The sequence below is a fragment of the Homo sapiens genome, chromosome 5, assembly GCF_000001405.40.
Source record: "Homo sapiens chromosome 5, GRCh38.p14 Primary Assembly".
Classification (NCBI taxonomy): Eukaryota; Metazoa; Chordata; class Mammalia; order Primates; family Hominidae; genus Homo; species Homo sapiens.
Window position 1 is genome coordinate 63,321,387 of NC_000005.10, and position 12,373 is coordinate 63,333,759.

Below are 12,373 nucleotides of genomic sequence, written 5' to 3' on the forward strand. Positions count from 1 at the left end.
GGCATTACCATTCAGGACATAGGCACGGGCAAGGACTTCATGTCTAAAACACCAAAAGCAATGGCAACAAAAGCCAAAATTGACAAATGGGATCTAATTAAACTAAACAGCTTCTGCACAGCAAAAGAAACTACCATCAGAGTGAACAGGCAACCTACAGAATGGGAGAAAATTTTCGCAACCTACTCATCTGACAAAGGGCTAATATCCAGAATCTACAGTGAACTCAAACAAATTTACAAGAAAAAAACAACCCCATCAAAAAGTGGGTGAAGGACATGAACAGACACTTCTCAAAAGAAGACATTTATGTAGCCAAAAAACACATGAAAAAATGCTCACCATGACTGGCCATCAGAGAAATGCAAATCAAAACCACAATGAGATATCATCTCACACCAGTTAGAATGGCAATCATTAAAAAGTCAGGAAACAACAGGTGCTGGAGAGGATGTGGAGAAATAGGAACACTTTTACACTGTTGGTGGGACTGTAAACTAGTTCAACCATTGTGGAAGTCAGTGTGGTGATTCCTCAGGGATCTAGAACTAGAAATACCATTTGACCCAGCCATCCCATTACTGGGTATATACCCAAAGGACTATAAATCATGCTGCTATAAAGACACATGCACACGTATGTTTATTGTGGAATTATTCACAATAGCAAAGACTTGGAACCAACCCAAATGTCCAACAATGATAGACTGGATTAAGAAAATGTGGCACATATACACCATGGAATACTATGCAGCCATAAAAAATGATGAGTCCATGTCCTTTGTAGGGACATGGATGAAATTGGAAATCATTCTCAGTAAACTATCTCAAGAACAAAAAACCAAACACAGCATATTCTCACTCATAGGTGGGAATGGAACAATGAGAACACATGGACACAGGAAGGGGAACATCACACTCTGGGGTCTGTTGTGGGGTGGGGGTAGGGGGGAGGGATAGCATTGGGAGATATACCTAATGCTAGATGACGAGTTAGTGGGTGCAGCGCACCAGCATGTCACGTGTATACATATGTAACTAACGTGCACATTGTGCACATGTACCCTAAAACTTAAAGTATAATAATAAAAAGATAAATAAATAAATACAGTCAAGTGCAAATGCTCTCTTGCTTTGACTTTTTGCTGTATTCAGCCCTTCAAAGAATTGGATGAGGCCTATCCACACGGAGAGGGCCATCTGCTTTACTCAGTCTCCAATTCAAACATTAATCTCATCCAGAAACACCTTCACACACACACTCAGAATAATGCTTAACCAAATTGCTGAGCATCCCATGGCCCAGTCAAGTTGACATATACAATTAGCCATCATTACACCTTTACCCACAGGAACACAAAGGAAATGACTAATATCCTCTCTAATTCTAACTTTCTTACAACATAATTTTGTGGTATTGAAATGAATAATTAGAGTCTTTATTATTAGTGCACTGGGATGCACTAAAATATCTGTACGCTGCTTCTAACAGCTAAGTAAAATGCAACAATCTAGCCAACTAACATTTTATAGCTGTGATATCCACCAGAGGTGGTATTTCATGATTCAACCAGGATGCCAAGAAGTGAGTGAGGTTTAAATTTATAAAGGATTGCAAGAGATTACATTTAATATTGGTTAGACTATTTAGCAGTATAGACTAGAAGTTTATAATATTCAAATTGGGAGTACTTGTATATTAATAATTAGTGTATCCCCCAAATACTGCTTTCCTTTACTGTAAAGGCAAGACATTTTTAAAATGGGGGTTTTATAACTTAGTTACATTCAAATATATATATTCACATTCAAACAGTGCCTTTGGAGAAAATGCATCCAATTAAACAATGCTGCTATTGTTCAAGGGAAGTTCACAAACTACACAAGAAAATATTTCTAGCTATTAGCAATTTTCTCCCATTTCTGAGGCTAGCAGATTTTTAAAATGTAATTTCCTTTTTTATTTGCCTTGGCTTTAGTAACTACTTTTGGCCATTACTTGATATAGAATTCACCAATAAAGGATGATTTAACCTCACTTAAGATATCAAAATATGAACCACAGCATGGAAGTCAATCCAAGAGAAGAGTTCTAGGATAGCACTGGGCATTGGCAGCACCAATGAATAGATGTGCAGCCCCTTACCACCACCTGGATGGCAGGTAGAAGAAAAGAAGGAATGGTGGGATGAGAATCTGAAAATATTATCTCCAATTATGCTGCTGATTTATGATAGGATGGATGCTCCCTGCCCTACCTTCTATGGTACACCTCCTGCTCCTGCATTGTTTGATATCTGAGTGGTTTAAGCTGAATTAACTTACCTCTACCTCCAAGAGTGTGTTCTGAAAAACTGAAACCAGTCAGGTCATTCCAATTTCTCTTGTCAGAGTTATTGTTTGAGAGATTGAGAGTTTACCACTTCTAAGCCAACAAGTGCGTCGTTCTTTTGTAAGCAGACAGAGAAGGTCTCCAGGAACTATAGGGATTTAAGCAACTTGAACAATCAGCTTGTTTTACAGCCTCCTGCCTTGCAGCCTGTTTTTTCCCAAACCTTTCATGAAATACCATAAATACAGTCACCTACTAGGTTGAAACCAACTCCTGGCAACTTACAGATGAACTTATAGATGAACCCCAGTGTCCTTGCCTCATTACCATGCTAAAGTCTCCATCCTGGGAGGAGCTATAGCTTCATTTCCATTACATGGGACCTATATACTGGCATGCTGACTCACCTCAACTGTGCAACTGGGAACCTTCATCTACATAAGACAACACATCCTCTTCCCTCTCCATTGCCCCTTAAAACCGTCCTGTCACATACCCTTAGAGAGGCACAGCTTTGGAGAATACTCTCAGTGCTCTCCTTACCTCCAAATATTTGCCAGATTTACTCAAAAATCTGGCAAATATTAAAGAGAAGGACTTTTGCTCTATACTTGGGGAAAATATCCTCTCTTTCTATTTCCCCCTATTCCTGATCTGGCTGAGGAATCACGTTGCCCAGATTGGGGCTGGCAGCTTTGTTGCATAAGGCCAAATACAAATTAAAAAGGAGAGACTTAATTCTCTCTGTTGAAAATAAGGAAATGACTTTCCTCCTTTCTTTTCCTAGTACACTTACTTTAGAAAACTCATTAAGTTTTTTCTCTGACTCTTTGATATGTAAATTCTTCTAAAAACTAAATAAGACTTTTGCCCATTTTGTGACCCAGGAATGTCTTTTCTCAAGAATCTGAGAGCCATCTCTTTGAGAAGTAATCATTGAGAAAGATAGCACCCCCATCTCACAATTTCTGTGAGAGGTTAGGAGCCTGATTTCACAGGGCACCTCATTCCAAGTTGCCAATTACCTCTTGTTATAAAGATGTGAAAGCCAATTAGCTAATACAGATGACTATCCCAAAAACTAAGTGAATTTAGGATGAACTATGTGTGTGGTAAATGTTACTGTCAAGTCTTCTTAGTTGAGGACTGGTTATTTTTTTTTTTTTTTTTTTTTGAGACGGAGTCTCGCTCTGTCGCCCAGGCCGGACTGCGGACTGCAGTGGCGCAATCTCGGCTCACTGCAAGCTCCGCTTCCCGGGTTCACGCCATTCTCCTGCCTCAGCCTCCCGAGTAGCTGGGACTACAGGCGCCCGCCACCGCGCCCGGCTAATTTTTTGTATTTTTAGTAGAGACGGGGTTTCACCTTGTTAGCCAGGATGGTCTCGATCTCCTGACTTCATGATCCACCCGCCTCGGCCTCCCAAAGTGCTGGGATTACAGGCGTGAGCCACCGCGCCCGGCCAGAGGACTGGTTATTTTTTTCTAAGAACATGTATGTAATGGGTGTATCCGTTTGGCTACATAGAAGAGTGAGATTTCTTTCTGGTTTTGCAATTTCTTGGTGGATTGCCTTGTGATGCCTATGTGCATTGTGATTTAATGCTTATTCAGTAGTAGCATGTTCTTTTCTTTCTAACTTTATGAAGAGTTTTTCTAGGTTGGGAGGAGATTTTGTTTTTAATTATATTTCCCCAACAATTATAACCATGAGAAAAGCCAGCCTGAAGATGAAGCCAACATGTGGAGAAAGACAGAGCTGTGAGCATCCTCACAGAGTAATGGAGATGGAGCCTTGGCTGGAGTATTGCTGCATATTTAGACTTCCTTTAGACTTTCAATTATATAAGCCAAGATATTTGCTTAAGAATGTAAGGCAGACTGAAATAGCTATATTGTTTCTCACAACTGGAAGTGTTCCGAGCTTTTCCTACACATTTAATCACAAATATCTTTTTCCTCATGAAATGCCTAAGAACATCTTGCAGGACTGCTGTTTTATGGAACACATTTTGGGAAACACTTTTCTAAGTCAATTATCTATTTATTCAACATTTTTTTTTTCTTTTTTGAGATGGAGTCTCACTCTGTCACCCAGGCTGGAGTGCAGTGGCATGATCTTGGCTCACTGTTACCTCTGTCTCCTGGGTTCAAGCAGTCTTCCTGCCTCAGCATTCCAAGTGGCTGGAATTACAAGCATGCACCATCATGCCTGGCTAATTGTTGTAATTTTGGTAGAGACAGGCTTTCAACATGTTGGCCAGGCTGGTCTCAAACTCCAGACGTCAAGTGATCCACCTGCCTCATCTTCTCAAAGTGCTGGGATTACAGCACACATGGCCACAACAATTTTTTAATATTAAAAAGTATTTCCTTTGAGAATGTATCATTATTAACAAACTTACTTCCTTGGTCATTATATAACTTACGTTTTCCACCATTATAAGAAACCTGCATTTAACAACCTTGATTTGCTTCTGTTTCCATGTACTTACTGATGACTATATCCTCAGGATAAATTCCTGTATGTAGATTTACTAGGTTGAGAATATACAGATTTCTGTAGCTTATGGAATATAAATTTTGACAGTAAAACAATTGGAGTCTAGTACTAATATTCATAATTGGAATAATGCTTAAGCAACATGACTCAATGGTCTAATAATGTCATTCAGAATAAATGTTGACTATAGTAACATGATCATATACGTTTTACTAGAATAAGAGCATAAATAATGAACAATGATAAAATAATGTATCAAATGACCTCCTTAGCTCTCCTGCATTCAGGAAGGCTGGGTTTGCACTTTTACTGCTGATCCTTCATGTGGGTAGCACAGGCTAACTGGCTAATAATATAATTTATCCCTACCTGAGAAACTGTATTTTTACACAGTTTTCTCAGAAGGAGCTAAGGGTGTAATGAACAGAAAAAGAAGAAAAAACACAGACTTATGCTTCCAGATTAAAAATAAAAATCAATACTTCTGCCCATGTCTTTGTGAAATAATGATTCAGTGATTTCAAGGTTTGCTGTAGCTTACAAGCAAATTTTAAATAAACTATGTTCATAGTGAGCCAATAAAACATGAGTCACATTTTGTAAACAGAATTCTGTACCTTACTTTAGGTTTTGAGAATGGACTTTGAATTAACATATAGCTGTGCTATAAGTTAATTATAATTTTTGTTGCACTTAACCCATCAAGATGTATACTTGAAGTTTGCAGAAAATAGAACGAGACATCTCTTCCTGCCAGATGGGAAATTTTCACACAGAGGTGGTCCAGCAACTGAACTGAACGGATGTAAATATTCAATGGCCAAGAGTTTGGTGGCACTCTACAAAAACAACGACCTCCTGGTCATGGGAACATTCCTTTTTGGTCCTCTTGGTTAATCTCTGTGGATTTGATTTTCTTAAATATATATTATACAAATACTGCACTTTAATCTCTGAGGTCTTTTGTCTAATTTCCAATTTGTTCAGGAGTTCAGAGGAGAAAATGTAAATTATGTCAATACCTACTAGGAAATATTCATAGAGAAGATATAATCTGTGCTCAGTATTGAAGAATGTGTAATGAAAGGTCAGAGATAAATGTATAACCCCTCAGTCAGGAGTAGATGGATAGAACTAATACAAACAGGTAGAAATGCTAGTTAAGCTGGAAAACAGTGAAGAGACCAAGTTATAAAGGCTGAAGGTAGGATATGGATTATTTTAATTTTTAATATTTTCTTGATTTTGTAAAGTTTCAAAATGACCATACATTATTTCCATATGAATAAATCAACAATGACAAAAGTAGTCATTCATTGAGTGTTTATAGTTTGAGAATTTTATTTCAAATCCCATCATCTTGCAAGGCAGTGGTGGTCTTTAAACCAGCAGCAGCATTAGCAGCACCTGAGAACTTGTTAGAAATAAAATTTTAGAAACTTACTGAATCAGACATTCCGAAGGTGGGGCCAAACAATCTGTGTTTTAACAAGGTCTCCAGGTGGTTTTGGTACAACTCAAGTTTAAGAAACATTGCTATAAAGTAAGAATCCTTTTTATTTTTCCTTTTCAAATTTTATTTTAGATATTCAAAGGGTACATGTGCCGGTTTGTTACCTGGGCATATCGTGTGATGCTAAGGTTTGGGGTACAAATGATCCCAACACCTGGGTACTGAGAATAGTTTCCAATAGTTAAGTTTTTCAACACTTGCCTCCCTTCCTCACTGCCTTCTCCAGGAGTTCCTAGTGTCTACTGTTGCTGTTGTTATGTCCATGAATACCTGGTGTTTAACTCCCACTCATAAATGAGAACATGCGGTATTTGATTTTCTGTTCCTGAATTAATCTGCTTAGGACAGTGGCCTTCAACTGTATCCATGTTGCTGCAAAATACATGATTTTGTTCTTTTTTATTGTTGCATAGTATTCCACGGTATATATGTATTACATTTTCTTTATCCTATCTGCTATTGATGGGCACGTAGGTTGACTCCATGTCTTTGTTATTGTGAATAGCACTGTGATAAACATACAAATGCAGGTGTCTTTTGGTAGAACAATTTATTTTCTTTTGGATATATATCCACTAAGGTGATTGCTGGGTCAACTGGTATTTCTGCTTTAAGTTCTTTGAGATATCTCCGAACTGCTTTCTACAGTGGGTGAACTAATTTCACATTTCTACCAACAGAGTATAAGTGTTCCTTTTTCTCACAGCCTTGCCAACATCTGTTTTTTTTTTTTTTTTTAACTTTTTAATAGTAGCCATTCTGACTGCTGTGAAATGGTATCTTATTGTGGTTTTCATTTGCATTTCTCTGATGATCCATAATAATGAGCTTTTTTTCATACGTTTGTTAGCCACTTGATGCCTTCTTTTGAGAAATGTCTATTCTTGTCTTTTGTCCATTTGTTAATGGGGTTATTTGGTTTTTGCTTATTAAATTGTTTAAGTTCCTTATAGATTCTGGATCTTGACCTTTGTTGAATCCATAGTTTGTGAATATTTTCTCCCATTCTGTAGGTTGTCTTTTACTGCATTGATACTTTCTTTTGCTGTGCAGAAGCTTTTTAGTTTAATCAGGTTCTACTTGTCAATTTTTGTTTTTCTTGCAATTGCTTTTGAGGACTTAGTCATAAATTCTTTTCCAAGGCCCATGTCCAGAATGGTGTTTCCTGGGTTTTCTTCTAGGATTCTTATAGTTTGAGGTCTTACCATTAAATATTTAACCTAACGTGAGTCAATTTTGTATATGGTGAGAGGTAGGGGTCCAATTTCATTCTTTTGCATATGACTAACCAGCTATCCCAGCACCATTTATTGAATAGAAAGTCCTTTCCCCATTGCTTATTTTTGTCAACTTTGTGGAAGATTAGATGGCTGTAGGTGTGTGGCTTTATGTCTATGTTCTTTATGCTATTCTATTGGTCTATATGTCTGTTTTTGTACCAGTACCATGCTGTTTTGGTTACTTTAGACTTACAGTATAGTTTGAAGTTGGGTAATGTGATGCCTCTAGATTTGTTCTTTTTCCTTAGGACTGCTTTGGCTATTTGGGCTCATTTTTGGTTTGATATGAGTTTTAGCATAGGTTTTTCCAATTATGTAAAAAATGACACTGGTGGTTTAATAAGGATAGCATTAAATCTTGGGACAGTATGGCCATTTAAACAATATTGGTTCTTTTAATCCATGGCATGGAATGTTTTTCCATTTGTTTGTGTCATCTATCATTTCTTTCAGCAGTGTTTTGGAGTTTAGCTCTCCTTGTGGAGTTCAGCTCTCCTTGTGGAGTTCTTTCACCTTCTTGTTTAGATATATTCCTAGGTATTCTATTTTTTTTGTGTGTGGCTATTGTAAATTGGGTTTAATTCTTGATTTAGCTCTCAGCCTGAATGTTATTGGTGTATAGAAATGCTACTAAATTTTATACAGTGATTTTGTATCCTGAAACTTTGCTGAAGTTATTTATCAGTTCCAGAAGTCTTTTGGTGGAGTTTTTAGGGTTTTCAAGATATAGAATCAAATTGTCCATAAAGAGACAGTTGGACTCCTTTTTTTCCTATTTGGATTTTTTATTTATTTTTTTCTTTTATCTGATTGCTCTGTCTAGGACTTCCAGTACTATGTTGAATAGGAGTGGTGAGAGTGGACATCCTTGTCTTATTCCTGTTCTTTACTTTTTGCTGAAGTTGCTTATCAGCTTAAGGAGATGTTGGGCTGAGGCGATAGGGTTTTCTAAATATACAATCATGTCATCTGCAAAGAGAGACAATTTGACTTCCTCTTTTCCCAATTGAATACCTTTTATTTCTTTCTCTTGCCTAATTGCCCAGGCCAGAACTTCCAACAGTATGTTGAACAGGAGTGGTGAGAGAGGGCATCCTTGTCTTGTGCTGGTTTTCAAAGGAAATGCTTCCAGTTTTTGCCCATTCTGTATGATATTGGCTGTGGGTTTGTCATAAATAGCTCTTATTATTTTCAGATATGTTCCATCAATACCTAGTTTACTGAGAGTTTTTAGCATGAAGGACTGTTGAATTTTGTTGAAGGTCTTTTCTTCATCTATTGAGATAATCATGTGGTTTTTGTTGTTGGTTCTGTTTATGTGATGGATTACATTTATTGATTTGCATATGTTGAAGCAGCCTTGCATCCCAGGGATGAAGCCGACTTGATCATGGTGGATAAGCTTTTTAATGTGCTACTGGATTCGGTTTGCCAGTATTTTATTGAGGATTTTCGCAATAAAATCCTTTTCAGACAAGCAAATGCTGAGAGATTTTGTCACCACCAGGCTTGCCTTACAAGAGCTCCTGAAGGAAGCACTAAACATGGAAAGGAACAACTGGTACCAGCCACTGCAAAAACGTGCCAAATCGTAAAGACCATTGACGCTATGAAGAAACTGCATCAATTAACAGGCAAAATAACCAGATAACATCAAAATGACAGGATCAAATTTCCACACATAACAATATTAACCTTAAATGTAAATGGGCTAAATGCCCCAATTAAAAAACCCAGACTGGCAAATTGGATAAAAAGTCAAGACCCATCAGTGTGCTGTAGAGGTATGTTCCTTTGATGCCTAGTTTCTTGAGGGTTTTTATCACAGGGATGTTGGATTTTATTGAAAGCTTGTCCTGAATCTATTGAGATAATCATACGGTTTTTGATTTTGATTCTGTTTATGTGGTGAATCACATTTATTGATTTGCGTATGTGGAACCAACCTTGTATCCCAGTAATAAAGTCTACATGATCATGGTGAACTAACTTTTTGACATGCTATTTAATTTGGTTTGATAGTATTTTGTTGAGGAATTTTGTGTCTATTTTCATCAGGGATATTGGCCTGTAGTTTTATTGTTTTGCCTTTGTCAGGTTTTGGTATCAGGGTGTTGCTGGCTTTGTAGAATGAGTAAGGGAAGAGTCCCTCCTCAATTTTTTGAGATCGTTTCAGTAGAATTGATATCAGCTCTTATGTGTATGTTTAGCAGAATTTGGCCATAAATCCCTCTGGTCTGGGTTTTTGTGTGTGTGTGTGGTTGGTAGGTTTTTTTTTTTTTTAATTAACTCAATTTCAGAGCTCAATATTGGTCTGTTAAGTGTTTCAATTTCTTCCTGATTCAAGCTTCGGAGATTGCACGTTTTTAATAATTTGTTCTTTTTTTGTTTTTAGACCTTCTTGTATGTATACATAGAGGTGTTTGTAACAGTCTCTGAGGAGCTTTTGTATTTCTGTGGGATTGGTTATGATGTCACTTTTGTCATTTCTGATTATGTTCATTTGGACTGTCTTTTTCTTTGTTAATTTGGCTGGCAGCCTATCAATTGTGTTTATCCTTTCAATTAATCACCTTTTGGTTTTGTTGGTCCTTTGTATGGATTTTTGGATTTTGATTTTATTCTTCTCTTCTGCTAGCTTGGGGTTAGTTTGTTCTTCTTTTTCTAGTTCTTCTAGGTGTGATGTTAGGTCATTAGTTTGAGATTAATTAAATTTTTAATTTTTTTGCATAGTTAAAGATTAATGCATCTTTCCAACTTTTTGAGATAGGCATTTAGCACTACAAACTTTCCTCTTAACACTACTCTTGCTGTATTCTAGAGATTTTGATATGTTTTGTTTCTGTTTTCAAAGAATTTTTTAATCTCTACCTTGACTTCATTGTTTACTCGACAGGAGCAAGTTGTTTAATTTTCATGCTATTGTGTGGTTTTGAGAGATCTTGTTGATATCTATTTTTATTTCACTTTGGTCTGAGAGTATGGTTGGTATAAGGTAAGTGTCTTTAGCTCAACTTAAAAAATGAGGTAAAGGAAGCTCAGTAATAGTAAGTTCCCCAAGGTCACTCAGGTATCAAGGGCTACAGCAAGGATTATAAATGAGTGTTTTTCACTCCTAAGCATATGCATTTTTTACTAAGCCACATTACCTTTAAAATAAATTTATTACAAAAAAGAGAAAAGCAGGGATATAAAAGGTATTATTGGGCTCCTCTAATTTATTTTCACTCTATCTGTAAGTGTATAATTTCTGAAATTGTTGTTAAATGAGGAGTTGAGGTTTACTTATAGTTAGACTATGTACAAAACTCAATAATTGAGTGAACTCCATTGCATCATCTTGTAAATTTCTGAATAATATCATAAAATGAAGTGAGAAATAGCACAAGTTTATACACTGTACAGGGTATCTTTGGGAAACACAAAGAACAAACATTTGTCTAATAATCCCAATAATTCCTTTGACATGCAGGGGCGACAGTAGACCCCAGTATCGTGAACACAAATTTCCTTCTGTGCCTTGAAAGCATGAAGGTAATTTATTTACATGAAGAGCCTTAGAGGTTAAACCTGTGAGTTCAAAATTCAGGCTATTAAGAGTACTGTATCGTCAATATTGGAAAATATCATTTAAACTTGTTTTATTAAATACTCGCATTTTTATTTTGCCTTCATAAAAGTGCTTTAAAAGTAGAAAAATATATTGATGGCAATACTGGTTTCCTTCTAGTACATTTGTTTTGACTCCTTTCCTTTCAATTGTCTTTCTTCCAAGAGTTGTAAAATTGTAGTTGCTTTAGCATCTAAATGTCTTTATGCATAGTAAAAACCTGTATAAAGAAAGCATCATGGGTAAAGCTTGATTTAAGTGTTTCATTTATGTTCCATTTCCTTGTCATGTAAAACCAAATATGTGGAAATTTCTTCCTAACAATTTTTTATATGTGAGTAAAATCCTAAGTTTGGACATTAGAAAGAGTAATGACATCAGATTTTAAAAGAGTTACTACTCATATAACTCAGAGACTTGAGAAGCTTGGGTCCAGTAGATAATTGGAAAATTTTATTGGATTTTGATGCTTATCCACTCTGTTTATCAGCAATAATCTTACTCGTATTCAGTTGACCTTTGAATAACACAGTTTGAGCTATACAACTCCACTTATACACAATTTTTTTCAATAAACATATTGGAATTGTTTTTAGATTTGTGACAATTTGAAAAACATGCAAACTACATAGCCCAGAAATAGTAAAACTATCAAGAAAAAGATGTGTTATGAATGCATAAATAAATGTAGATACTATTCCATTTGATCATTTACTACCATAAGATATATACAAATCTATTATAAAAATTTCAAATTTATCAAAAGTTATGCATACAAACATTTGTAGAACATACATGGGGCCATTTGCAGTTGAGAGAAATCTAAACAAAGGCAGATGTGTGGTAGTAACTATTGACTGCATAAAATGACCTGTAATAAATGCTTTACTACTGTAATAATCTTGTAGCCACCCTCTGTTGCTATTGCAGTGAGCTCAAGTGTTGAGTATCTGTTTAAAACAGTGACATTAATCATCCTGTGAGCAGCTCATCTCTCCAATAAATTGCATACCACAATACAAAGTGACTTATTGTGGTTCTCCTGTATTTTTAATCGCATTTAGTGCTATACCATAAATCTTGAATAATGCCATGGGACCCATACAAAGTGCCACTAATGATGCTGCAAGTGCTCACAA